At 39.4% G+C, this 25,134-nt stretch overlaps 1 protein-coding gene across 3 annotated transcripts in view, besides 5 other annotated features; it reads left to right on the forward strand.

Annotated features, from left to right (window-relative positions):
• Nucleotides 4,723-4,842: an enhancer, noted in NCBI's record as "active region_21548". NCBI's record gives its function as "activates an Ori minimal core promoter by ATAC-STARR-seq in GM12878 lymphoblastoid cells {active_cell/tissue: GM12878}" and the evidence as "EXISTENCE:reporter gene assay evidence [ECO:0000049][PMID:35858748]".
• Nucleotides 4,993-5,332: a silencer, noted in NCBI's record as "silent region_15406". NCBI's record gives its function as "represses an Ori minimal core promoter by ATAC-STARR-seq in GM12878 lymphoblastoid cells {active_cell/tissue: GM12878}" and the evidence as "EXISTENCE:reporter gene assay evidence [ECO:0000049][PMID:35858748]".
• Nucleotides 4,993-6,162: a biological region, named in NCBI's record as "H3K27ac hESC enhancer GRCh37_chr4:48343493-48344406".
• Nucleotides 5,249-6,162: an enhancer, noted in NCBI's record as "H3K27ac hESC enhancer chr4:48343493-48344406 (GRCh37/hg19 assembly coordinates)". NCBI's record gives its function as "activates a minimal SCP1, AML or CMV promoter by ChIP-STARR-seq in primed H9 embryonic stem cells {active_cell/tissue: H9 hESC(primed)}" and the evidence as "EXISTENCE:reporter gene assay evidence [ECO:0000049][PMID:30033119]".
• The window catches only part of SLAIN2 (SLAIN motif family member 2), an 84,673-nt gene continuing 64,840 nt past the window's right edge, over nucleotides 5,302-25,134 (forward strand). For 2 of the 3 annotated variants that reach the window (XM_005248121.4, NM_020846.2), the window contains exon 1: nucleotides 5,302-5,901. In XM_005248121.4, coding sequence (XP_005248178.1) covers nucleotides 5,513-5,901 — 389 coding nt within the window. In that variant the 5' untranslated portion in view covers nucleotides 5,302-5,512. Of the gene's footprint in view, nucleotides 5,902-6,509; nucleotides 15,368-25,134 lie in introns of those variants that run through there. The other variant, XM_047416023.1, reaches the window with a different exon arrangement.
• Nucleotides 5,473-5,782: a silencer, noted in NCBI's record as "silent region_15407". NCBI's record gives its function as "represses an Ori minimal core promoter by ATAC-STARR-seq in GM12878 lymphoblastoid cells {active_cell/tissue: GM12878}" and the evidence as "EXISTENCE:reporter gene assay evidence [ECO:0000049][PMID:35858748]".

Here is a 25,134-nt window from a genome sequence, read left to right on the forward strand (position 1 = left end):
TATCCCTCAATCCCCACCCCAGATGGTAGCTGACTACGTATCAATACTCTTTTAAGTAAAAGAATGGAGAACTCATCATGCTCATGGGCCAAAGGGGATTCTAAGTGCAATTCTGAAGTCAGACCAGCTGGGTCTAATTTAGCTCCACTACTTCCTGGCTATAGTATTGGAAATTATTTAACCTCTCTATATCTCAGTTTCTTCATTTGTAAAATGGAGATGATGATGAGAATAGCAGCTACCTCCAAAGACTATTGTGAGTTTTAAATGAATTATCACATGTCATAAAAGTGGTTAACAACTATTAGCTACTATTATTATTGGGCCAATTTGGAGAACTGGATATTTATAGAATTAAACTTCCAGGGCACATATAACTGTTTACATAAGAAGGATGATGAATAGAAAGTAACTTTGTAGACATACTTGGGCAAATTGAATAGTTGATGATGTCAGTCGGGGTAATACTCCAGGAGTTTTCCAAAGACTCAGAAATGGAATTCTCTACAGCTTCCTAGAAGACTAATTATTTAAGTATCTCAATGGCAGCTTAATTTACTTTTGCTTGATACAAGTCTCTATGTATAATCTACTCTCTCCACTGTATCTCTAAGTCAATACTCAGAATAATGTATTTTAAATCCTAGGGCAGATTATTGGGACTTATCTTATTGACTTGAATATTTGGATTATTCCAAGTTTTCTTCCATCTTTGAATAGTAGTTTCTGTAGAACATCAAACACGTTCAGAAGTGGTTCATATTCCACTCTTCCAACTTCACTGTCCTACTGATATACTACTTAAAGAAAAAAAAAGAAATAATAAATGTTATTTAAGAGCTTATCTTCCCATCTGCTGCCAGAAAAAGGGTGGAAGACACGGTATTGTTTCATTTTGGGTAGCTTCCTAACAGTTCAAGAACCTGTTCACCCTTTGCTCTGATCACGGACTTACCCACCCCTACATCTATATAATATATGCCCCCAACAGTGTGATAGGGGACCACCCTCTAGACAGAGAATCTCCCTAAAAAAGCCCCCCTTCATTTTGCCACCAAGCGTTCAATTCAAAATTTCTCATATACTTAACCTTTAAGGTTCCTGGGACTCCTTTGTAAAATTGTATTGTACCAAGACAGTGAAGAAGGGGCCGTTTGATAGATCAAAGGGAGGCACATCTGGAGGAGGGATGCTGGTGAGGAATAGATGAAAGAGGGTAAGTAGAAAATAACTGACCATGTGTACCTATGAAGATTAAACGGATGGACTGTCTAGTGAAATGATCTGTTATGTTAAAAAATGGATGGATTGGATAGCAAAGGTTTTGTCAAAGAATCTGAGCATTTTCTAAGGAAATGCAAATATTTCTGTGTCTAGCAATTTCTAAACTACTTTTTAGCATGTGCTTATATAGACACACACACACACACCTTGATTTAGGATTTTAGGATGGCTAAATATCTTTAAGCCATTGAGTAACAGTTTTTCATTCCAAATACTTTTAGTGGTTTGTAATATTTTCCACTTTGTCAGGAGTTTCACTAAGAGCTAACATGCATGTAGGAGCAAGTTATGAAAATGGGCCACACCTGCTTAGAAAAGAAACAAATCCTTCTTCCAGCAACAAACCAAGCTTATCATAAAACACAACACCTGAAAAACTAGTTGGGCTAACTGTGATGCATACTTCAGACACCTACTAGCTCTGCTCCTTGTAGCTATATAAAAGTCACTCTTAGAGTGACTTTTAAAAACATGCTGTAACACTTCTGAGTCACCAGAGAAGACAGGGTATCACAGCTAACCTGAAAGAGGAAGATCCTGGCAAGGTTAAGGATAGAAAGGAAATATTCTTGTCCTTATGCTTCTCAGTGAGAACTTAAAACTCTCTCCTCAGCAATTCTTAAGGGCTGTTGGCTCTCAGGAGGTAGAGAGTGACCTAGTTTTGAGGATGACATATATGGTATGACATGTTGCTCTTTTGGAAGGAGAAAATATAATTTTAAAAGTCAACCATTCAAAATAATTACAAATTTCCACTTCAATGATTTGAGATATAACCATATTTATCTGAAATTCTCTTTTAGGAGACTTCACTTAGCGTAAATCCATTAACTCTCTCGTTCAAAAAACATGTATTGAGCACTTACCATGTACTAGGCACTGTTGTAGGCACTGTTTTAAGCACTGGAGATATAACAGTGAACTCTGTTCTCCTGCAGTTCACACTCTACTGGTGAGAGACAGGCAGTGAAGAAAAAAAGAAAGAAAAGGAAGGAAGGAAAGAAAGAGAGAGAGATGTGTCTGAGAAAAAATGAAACAGGATTAAGAGGATGGGGAATGACACAGATGCTATTTTATGGAGAATCATAATGAGGATAGTGAATTTAGGTGCTATTTGGGCAGAGACCTGAATGAAGTGAGGGAGTCAGTCATGTGATAACGTGAATGACAACCAGATCCTAGACAGAAAAGCAAGTGCAAAGTTCCTAAAGTAGAAACATGCTTGGCTTGTTTGAAGAAAATCAGGAAGGCCAGTGTGGTAGAGTGATGGGGAAGGTGTTAGTTAATGAGATACTTGCAGAAGTTGCCGAGTATCCAGAGCCCTATAGTCCAGGGAAAAGACTTTGAAGTATGTTGGGAAGCCAGTTGCTTCTGAGGATTCTGAGCAGGAGAGTAACCTGATGTGACTTACACAAAAGATCATCTGGTTGCCATGTACACAAGAGACTGTAAAGCAGCAAAGTGGAATAGCTCATTAAAAGAGTACCACTGTAATCTAGACAAGAGAAGATGGCAACTTGAATTAGAGTCGTAGCAGTGGAGGTGCTGGGAAGTAATTAGACATATTTTGAATGTAGAGCCAGCACGACCTGCTTAAAGATTGGATTTGGTGGGTGAAAGAAAGTGAGGAGTAGGGATTATCCTAAGGTTTTTGGTCTGAGCATTTAGAAGAGCTGTCATTTATTGGAATGGTGATGACTACAGGACAAGCAGATTTAAGCGTGTGTATATGCTGTGTAGTGTGTATGTGTGTGTATGAACTGAATGTTGTTTGATACTTAAGAGGCCTATTAAACATCCAAATATCTAAATTCGTGCCTGCCATATAGTAGATATATTCAATATTTATTGAATGAAAAAGGTAAGACATTGAGTAAGGCAATAGAATTTAAAAATCCAAGTATATCTATCCACTATGAACTTCTCTATATATCTAAGTATATTCACTCTCATGTTTTGCAACCATGAGGCCTCACCAGAATCCTTTACTTTTTCATCCTGGAAGAGATACTGGAGATCCTCCAACTCACGCATTCTAAAGTAAACTAAGGACCAGAGATTAGAGAGCAGCGATCAAGGTCAAGTGCATTTATGCTACAGCTAGAACCCGACATCAGGCTTTCTGATTCTTAATTCATTGTTCCACACTACAACAGCTTTTCCTGCCCCACAAACATTAGTGCTAACTTCATAATGTCCGGTGAACTGTTCTTTTCAAGGAGTATATTTGAAGGGTTCGCCTTATAGAAACTGACTAGTTGGAATCTATTTTACAAAGCATTGAATGCAAGTGAAAACTGCTACACGTGAAGTAGTCATGATTTTTAACCCTCCGGCAACAAGTTCAGACTGGTCAGAAAGAGCAATGATATTTAGATGAGCATTACACAGATAATATATATTACTTGACAATTATGTTAGCAAACAATCACATCCTTTGACTAGGTCTGTATAGCTAGAAAAATACTCGACTTATAGTTAGCCAGCAAACTTTTAACACAAATACGTTTTTTGCTACGAATAAATAGCTACGTGGTTTTAAGTAGAACTTATAGTCTACTTAACTTTCAACAAACCAAGTATTGAGTGTCCACTGTGTCAGTGTACTAGACATGGGAAGCAAAAATGAAGTGTCCTTAAATCAAGTAAACAGACAAAAACAAACGAAAAATAATTCTTAGAGAAAAAAGCAATTTAAAAAAAAGTGCAAACACCTATTGAGAACTATTGATCACGTAGTGCTAGAATATGCAGAATAATTAGATCTTTGTGGAATTGTTGGGAAGAGGTTTCCTGAATGAGAGAGTATGGGATTTAAGAAAAGAATCAGATATGGCAGGCGGAGAATATGGCACTAGAAAAGCTAAAGGGTAGAAGCAAGTCAGTCATGGCATGAGTCCACACTCAGGTGTAACAGGACTGGATCATTGTTATTAAACTAAGGGTGGAGGCGGCAACTGAAGAAAAGCTGCAAACACAAGCCAAAGCCGTTCACAATTGACCTCTGAAGACCAACGACTGTGATAATGTGATCAAAACAAAGCATTTAAGTTTTGTTTAGGTTTCCTGCCGCATTCTAAAGGCAGACTTCACATTCTTACAATTTTCTTCATTCTTCAGTATCTGTCAGCGTGTTTAACTACTTTTAACATACAACTTTTAAAAAAGTCAAGACACACTACGAGGAACTTTTTCCGAAGGAAGTGATCCAAAGAACAGAGTGTGAGTCAATAAACGGAGAAAGGGAGTAGAGAAGCGGTTTACTATCCCCCGCTTCCGCCCCAGTGTGCTGTAAACTTTAAGTCGGGAAAACTATGTTTTAACCGATGAGATAATGCCTTTAAAAGTGCTTAGCACACTGTCTGGCCAGTAGGAAGCACTCAAGAAATTATGATTATTTTGACCTTAGACCTCTCTTAACTGTCTGAAACTGGGGTTTCTTATTTTCAGGGGAAGAAACAGGACACAGGCAGTCTAGAGGCTCCTGCCAGCCGAGACAATCTCCAATTAAAAGTCGGCATCGATTAAATATTTGCTGAACAAAGTAAACTGTCTCTCCACCGCCGGGCTGAGCGCCCACTCGAGATCCGGCCCGGAACAAGGGCGAGACTGGCCCGCGGGTCCCACACTCCCTGTAAGGGGTGGAGAACACGCCCACACGCCCAGACCAACAGGCGAGGCTGTTCGAGGACCTTGTTAGCCACCTCAGCCCCGCCCGCCGCGAGCCTTCTGCTGGCCTCCCGTTCTGCAGGGACCCTCCCTAGCCAGCCCGGCCGCGTCCCACATCCGCCGACACGCCCCTTCCGGCCTAATCCCCGCCCCTCAAGCACCGGCCCCGCCCCATAGGCCCCGTCCGTGGCCCCGCCCCGCCGCGAGCTGGCGCCGGGTCCTCTCAGCGCCCGCCGGCGGCCGCGTCCACCCCCGACGCTCTGAGGTCACCGACTGGGCCGGCCCGCGGGGGGCGGAGGGACGGAGGGAAGATGGCGGCAGGGGCCGGATATTGGCGCCGCCTCCCCCAATCCCGGAGCCGGCGCAGATGAGGCAGTTCGGCTGGGGCCAGCGGCGCTTTGGAACCCGAGGTGGGGGGACCCTGGCGGTGGGGCCTGGTCCTGCTATATGCCGGCGCCTCGGCTAGAGTGAGCGGCGGCGACGCCTCTTTCCTCCGTCTCTTTCCCTGTCGCTGCGAGAGCGAGCGGGCGGCGGAGGCGGCGGCGGCGGCGGGGCCGGGATGGAGGACGTTAACTCCAACGTGAACGCGGACCAGGAGGTGCGGAAGCTGCAGGAGCTGGTGAAGAAGCTGGAGAAGCAGAACGAACAGCTGAGGAGCCGCTCGGGGGCCGTGCAGGGCGCCGGCTCCCTTGGGCCCGGCAGCCCGGTTCGGGCCGGCGCGTCCATTCCCTCCTCCGGCGCGGCGTCTCCTCGGGGCTTCCCCTTGGGCCTCAGCGCCAAGTCGGGCGGCGGGCCCGGGTCGGGCCCGAGGCGGACGAGTAGCGAAGAGCTGCGGGACGCCACCTCCTTGCTAGCGGCGGGCGAGGGCGGCTTGCTGGACGAGGTGGAGCCGCTGCGGCCCGACGAGCTGGAGCGCCTGTCAGGCTGGGAGGAGGAGGAGGAGAGCTGGTGAGCGCGAGGCGCCGGGCAGGAGCTGGGCGGGGACGGGCCCGGGGGCGGAGAGCGTCCTCTGAGGGTCCCTCTGGTCGGGCGCCTCGCTTTGTGTAGCCGGGTCCGCTCTCCTGTGGCGACTTGTGGTTTTCTTGCTTTGGCAGAGGGAACGTCAGCTGGAGTTGGGGGTTCGAGGCGTGCGCAAGTAACAGGGTTGTAGCTCGTTGTCCTTTGGATTGTGGACCTTCTGAGTGCTGGACCCTATTGGGGTCTGTGGGTTGGGGCAGCTTGAGAAGGGCTGTTCGCCTGGGGAGGAGTCGGAGGTGGGAAACTGCTTTGTAGGCAGGGATCCTGCTTTGTGTAAGATACTGGCTTTCGGATGGTGGCCCTGGGCATTCTGGATGTAGGAGAGGGGTCTGCTTGATGAGGTATCACCAGGTGTGGGGGTCAGGGGCAGACCAGAGTCGTCTACGTCTATGCAGCGGTTGGTGTTTGGGACCCATTTCTGGCGGGGATGGGGAGACCGTATGAATCAGCACTCCCCTTTGGGTAGTGGGGTAAACCTTGCTTTGTGTGAAGAGAGGGCAGAGGATGGTGCTGCTTTTTTTTTTTTTTTTTTTTTTTTGTTACTCTGTGTGAAGAGTCAAGGGTGGAACGAGCCCTGGCTCTTATTTTCTAAAACAAGAATTGAGTCTGGCGTTTTGCAGAGCTCTGAATTGACAGTTATCACATCCATCTTTCATTTCCACGTCCTTCTAGGGGCAGAGAAAAAGAGTCCTATTTAAAAATTTAAACCAAAGCTATATTGTCATAAGCCACTTCTTGATGAAATTGTGGCCCCCCCACCTTAATATCACTTTCATAAATAGGACATGGGAGGCTTTTCCTCTCGTTTTATTATAAAGATGTGTGTGGGCAATTATTTGTCTTAATTCATTTTTCTTAAAGTTTTAACTTTTAGCTAAAATGTCTCTGCTCTATTGAAATTAAAACTTCTAACAGTGAAATCGAAATCATTCATAGACTCTGGTATTGCAGGGCTGGAACTTTGCAGTGTTCTGAGGTAGTTAAGAGCTTTCCTGGGTTCGCCCCTGGTTTTGCCACTTACTAGCAGTATGACCTTGAGCAAGTTACTCTGAGGCTCACTTTCTTCTTGTATTTGATGGAGAAAATAATAGCACTTACCTCTATAGAGTTATGAAAATTTAGTAAGATAATTATGTATGCATTTAGCGCTGGATCTGGCACATAGTAAACTGTCTAAAACAAGCTGCTATTTGTTACTCTTAAGCCTAGTTACTTAAATCAAGAAACAGTTCTTATATGATGTTGTAGGAGATTCTGGTGATTCTTAAGTGTTGATCCCTGTTCATAAGGCAGTTATAGTCTTGTTGAGAACTAAGTTTTGTGCAGTTAAATAAACTAGAAAGTGTACAGTGAATTACCCAAAGAGTGATAGAACAAAGAGTACTGACAGTGCTCAGTAACTGGGAAAAAAATAGTAGTCCAAAGTAGTTGGGCCAGACTTTGAGGAGGAGGTGGCTTGGAGTCTGAAAGTGAGGAAAGAGCGGGAAGGGCATTTTATGCTCTTGACAGCTACAAGAGCAGAGTCAGAGGTATTTGTAACTCTCAGGAAGATTTGAGTAACAGAATTACTCTTGAGTATATGATGACATACCTTTATTACCAAGTGATATCAAATATTAGAGCTGACTGTGGTAGTGACAGTTTTTGATATAAATGTGAAATTGCATTCTCCCAAAGGAATCTTGGGTATGTATGCACTTTAAAAGAACCCAGAATCTTGTAAATATTGTCACATGGCTCTTGCAAGTGATGATAATAAAATGATGCTCATAATAATGAGGATTAGCTGCACCCATCAGCCCATTTTAGATTATGTATTATTAGAACACATTGAGTCCACTTGGGGAAGCCGATTAAGTCTTTGGCTGCTTTGGTTCCTGAGCATGAGTTTGTTAAGGTAAAGCAAGTCTTCCTTAAATACTGTTCCAGGAGTTTCTTTTGACCAGATGATTCCTGCTTACTGCTTTGATCCTGGCTTCATATCTTGATATTATAGGTGTCCTATACTTTTTCTGAGATTTGTGTGAACTGAAAGTTGAATATAAATCATATTTAAAATGCGTTGGGGTATGTGATTAGGGTAAAAGTTGTAGGGGATGGATGTCAGTGGCAGGAAGATTCAAAGTCAATATTTTTTCCTTTCTTAGCAAGCTAAGAATCTACCTTTTGTAACTTCTAGCTATTGCACCTTCCTTTTCATCTAGAGGAATGTTTCCTCCCGAGTGTATGTGCCGCAAAGTGCTAGTTCTGAAGATGTCAATAAGTGTTATGTAGAAAAAAAGTGGGTGGGTTCTGGGATGGAATAAATGTGGGAAAAACTGGGTTCAACAAAAATAAACAGTTTTCTTTAATGCTGGGCTCCTGGAGATGCTAATGTGTTTTGAACATAGTAAATCTCTAGGGAGTATGGTTTGGTCCTAAACTTAATTGAGCTCCCAAGGAACTAGTATCTTTTTTAGAAAACAGTGCTCTACAGCAGTCACTTTCATACTCTTCTTTTTTTTTTTGGACCCAGCTTCATGATAAGAAATACATTTTAACTCATAATCAGGAATTCACATGTATCTGAATAACTGAAGCAAAAGTTTCACAAAATGTTGATTACTTTTACTACAAGTGGTATGCTTGGATATTTTCCGCTCTATTCTGTTTCATTAAAAAAAAATGCTGGTTACTCCCCAGCTAAGCTGATTTTGTGACCCATTAAAGAGTTGCAATTCTCACTTGAAAAACACTGTTTCTAGAATAACTCAGAAAAGTTTAGGGATGAGAACTAACTTCGTTGTGCATCACAGTGTGTCAGTCTGTGCCAGGCAGCTTATAAATATTTTTTGCCTCTAATTTTATACATTTATGAGATAGGTATCATTTTCTAGGTAAGAAAACTAATCTCTCTCCAAGCATCAAATAATGCGCACTGAATGATGGCACCAGGATTTGAATCCAGGTCTTTATACATCATAGACTATGCTGTTCCCACAGTATTTTGCTTTTTCCAAGTATAATGTCCTTTTCACATGAATGGCCTCTTCACATAGTTGAAGACTACTGTGGTGTCACTGCTGACCCTTTCTCCCTGCCACACACTGTGAGCATTCCCTTCTCTTCTTCAGAGTAAATAATCCCAGTTTGTTTTATCATTCCTTAGATAATGTAATTCTCTGATCCTTCGACCATGGTTATTTTTTTCTTAATTAACTCTAAGTTGCTCATTGTCATTATACATGGTTCCCAGAGTTGTACCCAGCATTTTAGATGATATTTGGTCAGATGGAGAGTGTGGTGGGTGTGAATCAAATGCTGTTTTTTTTTTAACCAAATACTTCATTGACAGTTTTAACTTCTATTATGCTTAATATGAGCCTGAAGTATCAACTTCTCTCCCATATATTTTATACATAAGATGTTAAACTGTGTCTTCCTAACCTAGTTTTTGTGTAACGGATTTTTTTTTTAGCTTAAATATAAAGCTTTTATTTTATTTTTTTTTAGGCGTGCTCAGATTAAATATAAGGCTTTTAAATTTCCTTTTGTTAGTTTTTATTTACACATTTAATATTATGTTTCTGAGTTATTTGGTCATCTTTGTATTTGGTAGGCATATCTACTACGTCTTCATTCAAATTGTTGATAAAAATATTAAATTGACATAATAAATTACTCTGAAGTGGGCATGTCAGCTAGACTCACTCTGGATTAATACCAGTCCATTAATCAACACACATGGTTGTTCAATAATTGCTAGTTCTATCTATTATCGTCAGGCCCATATAACATTTTGTGTAGACATTATGATTTTGTAAAGTGCCTTGCTATAATTAAGCTATACTCTGCCTACAAGATTCTTACCTACAATGAAGAATACTACATTACTATCACCAACCTATTAAAATAGCCATTGCAGTTGATTTGTTTGGACTTGTTCATGATGAATGTTCTAGCATTTCATGTATCCACTTTTCCTTTCTTCACAAACTTTTTTTTCATCCAATTTTGAATTTTGCAAGGAATCAGTTTGGTCTGGACTTTCTAGACACTGCTTATTTTTCTCTTTAGAAGTCACCATATTTCCTTTTATCCAGACTTTTGATCCTGCCCGTGTTCACCATGATCTTAGTGATAAAATTTCTGTTCTTTTCCATCATTTGGAGTGGTAGGCCTAAGCCCATTTTAAGCTACATTCTGGCTCACTAGATCAATTTATCTTAGGTTTATGAAGACACTTCAAATTCATACTGACTTCTCATCGATAACCTTTGTTGATAAATGTCCCAATTCAGAGCTAGGTAGGTAATGTGGTTTTTATACTTTTTTGTCACTCGTGGCTCTTCACTGCTGAGAGTTGATTTATTGTATGACCTCTTTGTTTATGTATGCTTTTTGTAGAGGGCCATTGGTAAAAGTTGCCTGTAATTTAATTTGGTAAGCCTAAGTTAATAAAGCAATTTGTGTAATTATCACCACTTATCTGAATAGTTTGGCAGTCATTCACTGATTAACATACTAATATCTTGGGAAGTTTTATGTTTTCTAGACTCTTCTGTACCAAGGAGATGTTACTTTAAAGTAATGTGGTTTGTGTATGTGTGTGGGTTAGATGAATCAGAAGTTAGACATCTAATAAGCTTTCTATTTCCCTTTTTTTTTTTTTTTTTTTTAAGAGACAGGGTCTTCCCATGTTGCCCAGGCTAGTCTCAAACTCCTGGGATCAGGCAGTCTGCCCACCTCAACCTCCCAAAGTGCTAGAATTACAGGCATGAGCCACTGTGCCTTGCCCTCTATTCCATTGTTAGCAGTGGTTTTCCAGTCATTCTAAAATGGCTTTAATTTTTTTTCTTTAATGGAACAAATACTTAGAGTACCTGTGTGCAGCACAGTGTTGGGAACATTGAGAGACATGATAATGCAAGTTCTTAAAAAATAGAACTTGGCCAAGCAGAGCCTCATGGTTGATAAAAGTATATTGCAGTCACTGTGGTGTGCCCATGTTTTTATATGCCAAGCATTTTGCAAGACAGCAGTCCGCAACCTTTTTGGCATCAGGGACCGGTTTCGTGGAAGACAATTTTTCTGTGGACCAGGGGTGGGGGTATAATCTACAGCTCACTGCAGCTTCAGTACCACCCCCCCTCCCCCACCCCTGGCTCAAGTGATTGTCTTACCTCAGCCTCTTGAGTAGCCAGGACCACAGGCGCGTGACACCATGCCTGGCTAATTTATTTTTTATGTTTTGTAGAGATAGGGTCTCACTATGTTGCCCAGGCTGGTCTCGAACTCCTGGGCTCAAGTGATCCACCTGCTTCACCCTCCCAAAGTGTTGGGATTATAGGCGTGAGCCATCGTGCTCAGCTCCTTTACACATGTTAAATCATTTAATGTGTACAATTTGGAGTTGTAATTATTATTATTTTTATTGTAAAATATAACAAAATTTACCATGTTAATAATTTTTAAGTTTACAGTTCAGTGGCATTAAGTACATTCACAATGTTGTGCAATCATCGCCACCATCCATCTCTAGACCTTTCATCTTCCTCAATTGAAACTGTGTACCCATTAAACAGTTTCCCTGTTTCCATGGACGCCAGCCCCTGGCAACTACCATTCTGCTTCTCTGTCTATGAATTTGACCACTCTAGGTAGCTTGTGTAAGTAGAATCATACAATACTTGTCTTTTTGTGTCTGGCTTATTTCATTTAGCATTATGTTTTCACAGTACATCCATGTGGTAGAATGTGTCATTTTATCCCCATTTTACAGCAAAAGAAACTAAACCCAAAGTCGCATAGCTAATAAAGTGAAATTGAGATTGACACCAAACCTAAAAGTCAAGTCTGATGAAGTACGATTGATCTTGATTTATTTAGCCTATAGATATTTAGCTTGGGGAAGAGAACTTTTTGAGTATTTGAAGGACTCTAATAAGGATTATTACTTATATAACTAACTGTTCATCGCTAGACTAATAGGTGTAAATTAGAGGCAGGCAAATTTTGTTTTAGTAGAAGGAAGAATTTTTTAATAGAGCTGTTTTTGGATGATATGCACTACCCTAAAAAAATTGTTGGAAATAACCTTCAAAAGACTGCTGAATGCTCCTGTGGCAGGCGATGTTACAAAGAAGTAAAAAAGTTGAATTGGGTGAATTCTGAGTGTTCTTTTAATTCTGTTGCACTCTATGTGGGAGCATAAGAAACCTTCAAGACAGGCTGGGCATGGTGGCTCATGCCTGTAATCCTAACACTTTGAGAGGCCAAGGCAGACAGATCACTTGAGGTCAGGAGTTCAGAACTAGCCTGGTCAACATGGTGAAACCCTGTCTCTGCTAAAAATACAAAAATATTAGCTGGGCATGGTGGTGGGCGCCTGTAATCCCAGCTACTTGGGAGGCTGAGGGAGGAGAATTGCTTGAATCCGGGAGGCAGAGGTTGCAGTGAGCTGAGATCACGCCATTATACTCCAGCCTGGGCGACAGAGCAAGACTCTGTCTCAAAAAAAAAAAAAAAAAGAAGATACCTTTAAGACAGAGTGCTAAGCTTAAGTGTGAGGAGATATTTAGCAGCGGAAGCATCATGAATGTTTTCCCTTTAAGTCTGTGGCACATTTCTCTGAATATCCTCAGTAATGGCCAGTTGTTTTCCTCTTGAGGGTAGGTTTGAATTTTGAAAACCATTAGAAGTCATTATCTTGCCTGGTGAATAAAAATGAGTTAGCAGGGTATTTAAAAGTCCTCAGCAGTCCAGCGCTAATTTACTTTTTTCCTAGATTTACTTGCTTTTGCCAGAACCTTCAAGAACATTTATGCCCTTTGGCTTTTGATGTTCATCTGTTTTTTTCTCTTCCTCCTCTTACCAAAATTTTACTTATTCTTCAGGCACAATGCAGATTTTCTTTCCTTTGTGAAATTCTCCTGAATTTTTAACTTGGTTTACTTCCTCTTCATTGTTAACCTATCACTGTTTATATACCCTTTTTTAGAGTATATTTAACGCAACCACCTTGTGCTTTGGTCTGTGTAGTCTAGAATGTGAGCAGTTTAAGCAGAAGGATAGTAGCATATTCATCTTTATGTTTCTGAACAGGACCACAGTGTAGTAAGAGTTCAGTGACATTAATTTAAATGAAATCAATCTATCAGTGATGTTAGGTTAAAATGAGGCAAAACTGTAAAACAGTGAGACCAGATTTCTTACATGACGCTTATGCCAGTTACAGATGAGATACTTCACAGATTCTGAATAATGGCAGTATTGAATGTATACTTTCCCATGATGAATTAAAGAAGAAAATACTGTCTAGATGTAGTGTGTGATTTTTAAAATAAGTTTAAAAATTAGCCAAAATACTGGCATCGCTCTGTTTAGTAGGATTACAGAAGCACTTTGTTTTAAACTTCTTTGTACTTTTTGTGATTTCCAAGTTTTCTGATAAGACATGAATTGCTTTTAGAATTTAAAAAATCCTATTGATAAAATTTAAGTCAGTTTTATTACTCTGTGATCATGTGGGGATCATAATATAACATGATACATTAGAAGCCTTTTTACTTGTAGTTTTCCTTGTTACTTAGTAGTAGTAAGATTATATATCACAGATGGATACATTTTGGCTTCAACAAATATGGTTTCATTTATTGAGTAACTGCCATAGGTGGAGCACTGTGCTGTAATGATAGCACATTTTTGATAGAATTGGAACCCAAGATATGTATTTGATCTTATGATCTATTATTCTTGTTTGTTTTAAATTTAACAATTTAATTGGGCAAAAAAAACATTTATTGAACTGGGTAGCACCCAGGACCGAAAGTGATTTAGAATGCTTCTTAGAATGTTCTTAACTTTACACTTAAAAAATTAAATTCCACAAGTGTAACTATTAAAACATTTATCAGATCTACCTAAATAAATCATGTAGTCTGTTTTCATGAAAAACACAACTTTGGTTTTTAGGAATATCAGATAAGGAACACCAAAGTTGTATAGCTCACATCCTGTGAGCCTTCTGGATCACTGATGTTGCTACTGCTCCTCAGTCCCCATCTTTGGGGCCTCCGTGTATTCAAATTCCTATGCCAGATTGCCCAGGGAACCTGGTGCTGATACCCTGGTAGCCCAAAAAGGCTACTTGCCTTCTACTTCCACTTACGCAGACCCCTGCCTCCTTACCCTTCTGCTAGGAACATATCTATAACTATATAAATTCATGTAATTTTGACATTATTTTTTAAAATGGCAATTTGGGCAGTAAATAGCAGAATTAAGTAGTGTCTTAATATAAATGGTTTGCATTACCTGAATACACTATTCCTTGTAGTAATTATCTGTACTACCCAGAGCACATTGCATGTGACTCCTGTTGGGCTAATTTTCAGTAGCAAAAATGAATTTGTAAAATAATGTAGGTTTTAAGGCTTTGGTAATAATAAGTTCTTATTTCACCTCTTTCATTTACTCAAAATTACGTCTTCTGAGATCTTTTGGGATCGAAGTTATGGAGGAAATGAACAACTTTAGGACAAACTAGCTTATTTAAGAGGAAGGCTTTAAACTAGGTCTTTAGGAGTGGCTCAGAAATTGCAGAACAGTTTACTTTGATCTGGGAAAGGTCTCACATTCTGGAATAAAATAGAAATTAGAGACTTTAGAGAAAAAAATATTGATTCTATCTCCTTGAAATATGAAGAATAATAGATGCAATATAATGTAGTACCACGGTATCAGATATGAAATTCTTGAAAGTATTTGGAAAGATAAGACAAAGGAAGTTGTATTTAGTTAAAAATCAGGTTTATAATTCATGAGGATGAATCAAATCATCTCCCACTTCTGCAGTGTACTAGACTGAAACTCCTCCCCCACACATCCCTCTCCTACTCCATTCAGGAGCTTCTGCTCCTCTCTCTGTGAGACAGTAAGAAAGTACCCAATTATGTGTGGCTCTTGAGGCTTATTTTGTTTGAAAAGTGTGAATGAGAACCAGGAGTGGGCCAAGCTAGTCTGTAAGTGACCCTTGACTCCAATAAGCTTGAGGAATGGGATTTAATAGGTACTCTCAAGTTAGGTTTTTAGTATGCATTTAATACCTAATCGGTACTATATTCTATAGTGATAATCAGACTAAATTGTGTGTTTTTGCTAATACCTATTTAGTAGATACAGAAAGAGTACTTTAGTAATTTTAGGCTTTGAATGCTTATATCTTTTGAGTGGGCCTGCTCATTTCTCCTCTGAGTGGGAGATAATGAATCTTGTGTTGACCTGTCACAGTGAAACTCTTATTTGCCATTGGTTATACTTAGGACTGATGGTGGAGTGGATTAAGAAGCAAAACCCAAAAAACTGATGAATCCTAGAAACCTGAATCTAGAGGTTTGGAACTTGATGAGCAGGCACGGTAAGTCTTGATGGTAGTGCAGCCTGCGAGTGAAAGAGGCTAACAACCTTTATGTGAGGTGTAATAATCTAGTTATATCTTAATTCATCTTCACATTTCTGTCTAACGCCATGTCTGGCCAGTGGTAACTGCTGTATAAATATTTGTTTAAATTACTGAGTGGAGCATAAGCTTTCAAGGTGTTTAGAGTTTGGTTAGGAGACAGAATGAACATAGAATTCTGTTCTCTCTGAAACCAGTAATATTTTCTAGAAGAAAGGTGTATATGGGCTTAAAAGTGAGAGCCGGGACTTTGGATTTGGGCACACATGGAAAGGTATTTTTTGCTGTCTGTGAGAATCAACAAGTTTAGGGAAAAGAGCGAGTGATACATTTGAGTAGGGTAGAGAAAAGGCCTGTGAAGATCTTAACTAAAGGGATGTTTGTTAGGGAACAAGTGAGAAAGCTGAATCATTGGGTTGGAGATCATACTGTGAATGGCCTGTGAAATCTAGGAGGAGAGTTTTTGAATATTGGAATGCTTTTAACAAAATGGCATTTTGGAGAGGTTAGTGTGGCAATAGTATGTAGGCGAGAACACAAGTCATAGCTACCTTTATTGGCTAGAAAACAGCCTCTGAGGTTTGTGTCCACCTCTTCTGCCCTGAAGTATTCAAACCAAAGTATTGAATTCAAACCAAACTATTGAGTCCACAGTGATACTCTTTCCATTTCATACCAACTACTTATAATATGTTGCATGAAAACCATCACATCACATCAAGCTAAATGATTAAAGATTAGGCCATTTACCTATGAAGGAAATAATAGATATCATTTTGGTTTCAAGATTGTTTAGTTCCTCTTAAAAAACATTCACATTGTTTAAAAATGTCATTTTGATCTTATTAATGTTATTGTAAGGATAATCCCAAACAGGATTCTGCAACCTTGACATTTGGGTCAGATAACTCTTTGTTGTGGGTGCTATCCTGTGTGTTGTAGGATGTCCAGCAGCATCCCTGGCCAATCAAAAATGTCTCCAGATGTTGCCAGGTGTCCCTTTGGGGCAAAATTACCACAGGTTAAGAACCATTGCCTTAAAGGATACTTATGGTATGGTGTCAACATGACCAGAAATAACTAGTACTGTATTGCAGTAATAAGTTTCGTATTCTAGTTACTTTGCTCCATTTACATTTTCTAAGTCAAAAATAGTGCTTGATATGGTTTGGCTGTGTGTCCCCACCCAAATCTCATCTTGAATTGTACTCCCATAAGCCCCACGTGTTGTGGGAGGGACCTGGTGGGAGATAATTGACTCATGGGGCGTTTTCCCCTATACTGTTCTCTAGATGGTGAGTTAACTCTCGCAAGATCTGATAGTTTTATCAGAGGTTTCCGCTTTTGTGTCTTCCTCATTCTCCCTTTGCCTGCTGCAATCCATGTAAGATGTGACTTGCTCCTGCTTGCCTTCCACCATGATTGTGAGGTTTCCCCAGCCTTGTGGAACTGTAAGTCCAATTAAACCTCTTTTGTAAATTGCCCAGTCTCAGGGATGTCTTTATCAGCAGTGTGAAAACCAACTAATACTGTGTGGTTCTGAAAATTAAGAATAAGTTAAGGGATTGGGCACTACTTGAGAGTCAATGGAGCACTAACCAGATGAGATGTCAGAACAGTAGATTTAAATTAGAACTGCCTTGGGGAAACTGGAATGAATGGTCACCCAAGAAGTAATCATCAGACATTTATTGAGTACCTGCCATAGGTGGAGCACTATCTATCATGGTAAGAAATAGTCATAAGAACTTTGATGGTTGGAAAGCTTCATGAAAGCTTCAAAAAAGACTTCATGGTCAGTCTTGAAAGGCAAAGTAAGGCTAGGTTAGATTAAAAAAAAGGAAACTTTTTTTTTCCTTTATAGTGAAAATAACTATGAACAAAGAATCCGTGGGTTAAACTCTCCACGATGCATGAAACAAACATTTATTTGGTCAGTTTGGCTGAAAACAGAAGGTTTTTTTTACTGGAGTAAAGATCAAAGGACATAGTTTTGAATCTGGTAACACAGGATTTTGAAAACTAAGCTGTGGAGTATATCTGATGGGAAAGTTTTTAGGCTGTGAAACAGTGGTATGTATATATGTGTTTCAGAGTATAAGTGGTAGAGTGTAGATAGATTGGAAATATGAAAGTCTGCTAGGTATGGAGAAAACAGTTAAGATTATTGTAACAGTCCGTACTTGATGAGATGGGGCCTAGACTAGAGCAAGGTCAGTGGAAATGAAAAGGAAGGGATGGATTTAATAAGGATTAGTGAATCAATAGGATATGTTAATTGAATATGTAGAGAGAAAACAGTCGACATTGGCTCAAAAATTTTCATTTATTGATTGGAAAAGATGATGCTATTTTGAGGGTTTTTGGGGGGATGTCCGTAAGAAGCAGTTTAGAGCTCTGTGACTGACACCAAGGAGAAAGATTAGAACTATCAGAAAATTATGTATGTCCAAAAACCAATAGTTGGTTATGGCAAAACAGCAACAAAAACTTTCAAATTAAAAAAAAAAGTTATCTGATAAACATAGAATAAAATAGTAGGAACAAGTATTTAGTTGTATCTTAAGAGTTGATAGAATAACAAAAAGATCCTGGGCTATATAAAGTGAAGGAATAGAAGAGCTCATTTTTACACTCTGTGCATTTTCAGACCCTCAAATCATCACTTCTAGCTTGGGTGATTAAACTGTTGTAAGTGATATAGAAAAAACTGATGGGAAAGGGAAAAAGTTAAGGGATTAGAGTGGTTAAACTTAGCCTCTTAGAGAAATTGGGCTATAATTTGATTACTGTCACTTGAGAGAGAGATCCTCGTTAATTGTTACGGATATTTTTTTTTTTCCCCCCTCAGGCTGAGTCTCGCTGTGTTGCCCAGGCTGGAGTGCAGTGGAGCAATCTCAGCTCACTGCAACTTTTGCAGCCCGGGTTCAAGCGATTCTCCTGCCTCAGCCTCCCGAGTAGCTGGGATTACAGACACCCACCACCACATTCAGCTAATTTTTATATTTTTAGTAGCGATGGGTTTTCACCATGTTGTCCCGGCTGGTCTCATCCGGACCTCAGATGATCCGCCTACCTCGGCCTCCCAGAGTGCTGGGATTACAGGCATGAACCAGTGTGCCCAGCCTGTTATGGGTATTTTGAAAGGAACAAATAATGAAATGATTATGAATTAAAATAGGAAAAATTTGATTCAGTTGATCTACAGCTGGTAACCGAATGGTTAGGACCAAGAAAAAAATGTAAAATTTTCTTTTCTTTTCTTTTTTTCTTTTTTTTTGAGAAGGAGTCTTGCTCTTGTCACCCAGGCTGGAGTGCTGTGGCACCATATCAGCTCACTGCAACCTCCGCCTCCCGATTTCAAGCGATTCTCCTGCAGGGATTACAGGCGACTGCCACCATACCTGGCTGATTTTTGTGTTTTTAGTAGAGGTGGGGTTTCGCCATGTTGGCCAGGCTGGTCTCTAATTCCTGACCTCGTGATCCGCCTGCCTCAGCCTCCTGAAGTGCTGGGATTACAGGCGTGAGCCACTACACCCAGCCAAAAATTTTCATTGTTATATTTCAGGAAAAAAATGCCACGCTCTCTTATGATTCTTCATACTTACTTCCTTGCATTCCTTTTCTACTGTGTGCCAGGAAGTTTTCTTTGGGGGTGAGGAGGCATAAGGGATGATGTGAAATATTCTTATTCCTGTTCTTGAGAAGCTTAGAATCCCATGTGAAGACTGTTATAAAATTATATAGAAATTGGGTATATACGCAGAATCACAAACTCTAACAATGGAGAATTAGATTAGGTTTTCTTTTAGGACAATGTCAATTCTAGTAATACTATTCCTTCTTCCCCCCAAGTGTATTTTGTGCTTTCTGATCATCTCAGAATACAGTATAGTTCAGGAATCCTCACATACCTGTTCTTATTTTTATATATAATTCAAAAGAAAAAAGGAAGAGAATGTCTAGCCTGGTATTCTTAAATATTAACTTTAGTTGTATAAACAGAATACAGTATACCCGTCTCTCTTACCTCCTACTCTGGCATGTAACATAAAAATATGTTAAACTTTCTTTAGCACTTCAATGTTAAGGTTAAACACGTATTTAATATACACATTTTATATGTTTATAAATATATAAATGTAGATTATATCTAATTACATATATTTATATTTTTCTCATTCTTACCTGGTTTATATTTTCACAAAGTTGGTAAAATATTTTAATTTTATTATAACTCAAAATAATTTTAGAATCTATAGGAATACTACAGATAGAAAATTCTGAGATGACAATTTTTTAATCTTTACTGTGTTAATAAACCTTTGTTATCAGTGTTTTGTGGGTTCGAACTTTATGTTTCTGTATCTTTTCCAAGATAATTTATTTGTAGATGCTTTATCAACAGTATGAAAAAGTGTTAATTTTTTAAACCTAAATCATTAAGTTGACAAACTATTAAAAGTCATTATAGCAGTATGCATTATCATCTTGGATTTGAAGAATATATCATTTGCTGAAAATATGACGTTTTAGCCAGGAACTAACATGTTCTATGGGTAAGATCCTGTTTTAGCCACTAAAAAGCAAAGTACTCTAAAATAAACTGCATGGATTATGCATGTTTGTAATGTTTATATGTATATATTATATATGCACATATCCATACATATACCCATGTGTGTTTTCTATGGACTAAAAACTTCTTGTGTTAGTAATTGCTATCTATATATGCAGTTGTAGCTGAAAAGATCTGTACTAGTAGCTGAAAAGATCTGTACTAGTAGCTGAAAAGATCTGTACTAGTAGCTGAAAAGATATGTACTAGTAGCTGAAAAGATCTGTACTAGTAGCTGAAAAGATACGTGCTAGTATACATAAAGACTGTATTGCAGCTATTGCCACAATTTGCAAGTCTGGAATAGTTTGAGACTCCCTGTCTTCCTGATGTCTTCTCTCAAAAAGAAGCAACTCAGTTTCTGATTGATGCAGTCTAGGTTGGTCTCACTGTAACTAGTGTTTCCCAGCATTCCCAGGTGCATAGTTATGGTTCAGCACTAGAAGTTTGTTTTTTAAAGACTTAATTCTGAACCTCAAGTTTAGTGACACTTCAAGGAATATCAAAATTGTTTTGATTCTCTTAAAATTAAAAAAACCATGCCATACTGGAATGGGAATAAAGTGAGTCATGAAATGAAAATGGAATCATAATAGCTATTTCTAAAAATTTGAAATATTTTAAAAGGTTATCTTCAGTTTACTCTGCTTGCTTTGCACTGTTTTTTGGGTTCACTGTGTTGTGTTGTGTTCTGTCACACATACTGTTTATATACACATATATTCTACCCTGCAACTAATGTCACTTCAGTGCTTGAAAATAGCTCTGTTCTAAAACTTTATTAATGAGTTTGCCTTGCTAATAATTATTAGTATTATTGATAATATTTTTAATATTCCTCTAAAAACCAGAAGAACATATTATATATATATTTATATAAGTATAGTATTATATATCTTTTAGTTAGCTGATGGGCCAAATATAATAATAAAATAGCACTATGAACAATCTAGAAGTTCAAAAAGACGCCGTATATTTGAACTGAATATGTTTTTCTTCAACTTAATTGTGATTTTTGGTTGTAGTAGTAGGTGGGATTGATTGAAACCTTATATTTTATAGTTGGTAAGGCTTAAGAGAGCAGGGAACATTGTGGCTGTTAAAATGATTATATTTAAGTCTTTTTTTTTTTCCTCCTGTTTCAAGAGACAGGGTTTCTCTCTGTTGCCCAGGCTGGAGCGCAGTGGCACAGTCATAGCTCACTGCAGCCTTGAACTCCTGGGCTCAAGCAGTCCTCCCACCTCAGCCTCCCAAGTAGCTGGGACTATAGGCACCTGCCACCGTGCTCAGGTGACTTTTATTTTTTTCCCCCAAGATGGAGTTTTGCGCTTGTTGCCCAGGCTGGAGTGCAATGGCATGATTTCGACTCACCGCAGCCTCCACTTCCACTTCCCGGGTTCAGGTGATTCTCCTGCCTCAGCCACCTGAGTAGCTGGGACTACAGGCATGCACCACCACGCCCGGCTAATTTTGCATTTTTGGTAGAGACAAGGTTTCTCCATGTTGGTCAGGCTGGTCTTGTACTCCCAACCTCAGGTGTTCCGCCCGACTTGGCCTTCCAAAGTGCTGGGATTACAGGCATGAGCCACCGCACCCGGCCCCACTGATGTTTTTAAAAAACTTTTGTAGAGACAGTGTCTCACTATGTTGCCCAAGTTGGTCTTGAACTCCTGGCCTCAAGTGACCCTCCCACCTCAGCCTTCCACAGTATTGGAATTACAGGTGTGAGCCACCACGCCTGGCCCTATTAAAGTCTTTAACTTAGGAATCTTTTATATTCTTTTTTAGCAATGCTATTAGGCAGTAAAGTATAATATTTAAGAGTACTGCTTCTGGAGCACTTTTGGTTTTGCCATTTAATAGCTGTGCCACCTTGGACAAGTTACTTACCTCACTTGTCTCAGTGACCTCATCTGTAGAATGGAGATTATAATAATACATATCTTATAATTTTGTAATGAAGATTGAAAGAGTTACTATATTTAAAACACTGAAGCAGTGCCTGACATGTAATGAGCATTTGATACAGTATAAATTATAATAATTACTGTTACATTGACTAACAAAGCTTTTTTTTTTTTTGAGACGGAGTTTCACTCTTGTTGCCCATGCTGGAGTGCAATGGCGCGATCTTGGCTCACCACAACCTCCGCCTCCCAGGTTCAAGCAATTCTCCTGCCTCAGCCTCCCGAGTAGCTGAAATTACAGGCGTGCACCACCATGCCCGGCTAATTTTGTATTTTTAGTAGAGATGGGGTTTCTCCATGTTGAGGCTGGTCTCGAACTCCTGACCTCAGGTGATCCGCCTGCCTCAGTCTCCCAGAGTGCTGGGATTACAGGCGTGAGCCACTGCGCGCGGCCCAACAAAGCTTGTTAAAGCATTATAAGCAATGTATCCTAATGGTTTAGAATTATTAAATTATATTTGCTTGTGAGTAAAACCAAAGATACTTGTATTTTTTTATTTATTTTTATTTTTTTTTGAGATGGAGTTTCACTCTTGTCGTCCAGGCTGGAGTGCAATGGTGTGATCTCAGCTCACTACAACCTCCTCCTCCCGGGTTCAAGCGATTCTTCTGCCTCAGCCTCCTGAGTAGCTGGGATTACAGGCTCCCGCAGCCACGACTGGCTAATTTTTGTATTTTTACTAGAGATGGATTTTCACAATGTTGGCCAGGTTGGTCTTGAACTCCTGACCTCGGGTGATCCGCCTGCCTCAGCCTCCCAAAGTGCTGGGATTACAGGCATGAGCCACCACGCCCAGCCTAAAGATAATAAGATAAACTTTTATTAAAGTTTTTTTAATGATAGAATTATTAAAATGGAAACAAATTACAATCTCAAAGTGGCCACTTTAATTTACTTTGGTATCCTCCCTTTATCTCTTTTCATATTGCTTTTTTATTCAGTGTGAATTCAGATCCAAATATTTGAACATGTATAAGTGTCTGTGTTGGGGATTCTGCATTGAACGTTGTGAAGACAGTGTCTGTTCTTTTGCACTGAATGTACCTTACTCAGTGAATAGGTAGAGGGGGATGATTTAGGGGTAGTAAAAGTCTGATTATTTTCCTCAGCCTGTAAAAAATTTGCATCTAAAGAAATTTATTTCAATAATGCTTTTAATATAACTTTTATTTTTATCTTAAATTTAAATCATTTTTGTCCTTGGCTTCAGTAGCCTACTTTCAGCTGGCTACAATATGAAAAGTGATTACTGCGGTTACCACAGATTCAGCAAAGTAACTCCTGTCTCCCTTCCTCTCCCCATTATTTACTTATTAATATATGTCTATGTGAAGAAATATATTAACAATGTGAAGAAAAGTCTGGAGAGACATACTCCAAATTGTAAATAATTTTGGAGTGTAATTTTGGTAGAGAAAGGGAGGTTATTATCATTTCTTATATTTGTACATTTCCATATTACTGAAAGTTATTACACTTAAAGAAATAGTTATATTCTTAGTTGTCTTTAATCACCATATTATACAGGTATGTGTGACATATGGGCCAAAATATGACTTCTTATTGTAAGCTTTATATAACTTTATTCTTAATTACATTTCTAATAACTCAGTATTTAACAGTATACTTAAATTGTATTTAATAGTGGTTAGGCCGGGCACGGTGGCTTACGCCTGTAATCCCAGCACTTTGAGAGGCTGAGGTGGGTGGATCACGAGGTCAGGAGTTCGAGACCAGCCTGACCAACGTGGTGAAACCCCGTCTCTACTAAAAATACAAAAATTAGCTGGGCATGGTAGTGCGCACCTATAATCCCAGCTACTCAGGAGGCTGAGGCAGGAGAATCGCTTGAACCTGGGAGGCGGAGGTTGCAGTGAGCTGAGATCGCGCCATTGCATTCCAGCCTGGGTGGCAGAGCGAGACTCTGTCTCAAAAAAAAAAAAAAATAGTGGTTAGTTCCCTTGTAATGATTGTTCTAAGGGAAAAAGTGGCATTTTGAAAGGCCAGTTTATTCCTATCACATTTTGACAGCTTTATCAAGATGTTATTTATATACCATAAAATGCACACGTTTAAAGTGTACTGTGGGCTGGGCAGGGTGGCTCATGCTTGTAATCCCAGCACTTTGGGAGGCTGAAGTGGGTGGATTACTTGAGGTCAGGAGTTTGAGACCAGCCTGCCAACTTGGGAAAACCTGGTCTCTACCAAAAATACAAACATTAGCCAGCATGGTGGTGTGCACGCTTGTAATTCCAGCTACTCAGGAGCCTGAGGCATGAGAATCACTTGAACCTGGGAGACAGAGGTTGCTGTGAGCTGAGATTGTACCACTACACTCTAGCTTGGGTGATGAAGTGAGACTCTGTCTCCAAAAAAAATTAAAAAAAACATAAATAGATAAGAAATAAAGTGTACTGTGGTTTTCAGTGTTCAGTAGTTTTTAACGTATTCACAGAATAGTACAACCATCACCATAATTTAGTTTTATAGTATTTTCAGCATACTGAAAAGAAACCCTGTGCTCATTAGTAGTCATTTCCCATTCCTTCTCTCCACCCCCTCATCTATCCCCAGGCAACCACTGATCAACTTGTCTCAGATTTGCCTATTCTAGACATTCCATATCAATGGTATCATACAATCTGCGATGTTTTGTGACTGGCTTCTTTTACTTAGCATAATGTTTGAAGTTCATGTGTAGCATTTTTATTGCCTCCAACACATTTTTAAATGTCTCTTTTCAAATTATAAATACCAACTCAAAAAATTCAAACAGGACAAAAATGAATAAAATATAGTCTCTTATTAGAATGGGCGTAAGGGATAGAATTTCCTTTTTGACAGGGCAATCTAAATGTCTACAAAGATTCTTTCTTAAAACATTTTGCATCAATGTTGTACATAGTGGAGACACTTAATATGATCTTACTGGAGATGTTCCAGGAAGGTTTTCCTGAAGAATTGAAATTTAAGCTGATACCCAATAGAAAATAGAGAAGAGCTGGATGAACTTGAGCAGGGGAGGGTGAGGTAAGCAAAAAAGTGGAATGAAACTTGTTGCAAGGGGAACAACATGCACAAATGACCTAGAAGCAAAAGTGTTGAGCTTTCCAGGAATAGAAATTAATTCCATATGGCT

This window comes from Homo sapiens, chromosome 4 (genome assembly GCF_000001405.40).
Source record: "Homo sapiens chromosome 4, GRCh38.p14 Primary Assembly".
Classification (NCBI taxonomy): domain Eukaryota; kingdom Metazoa; phylum Chordata; class Mammalia; order Primates; family Hominidae; genus Homo; species Homo sapiens.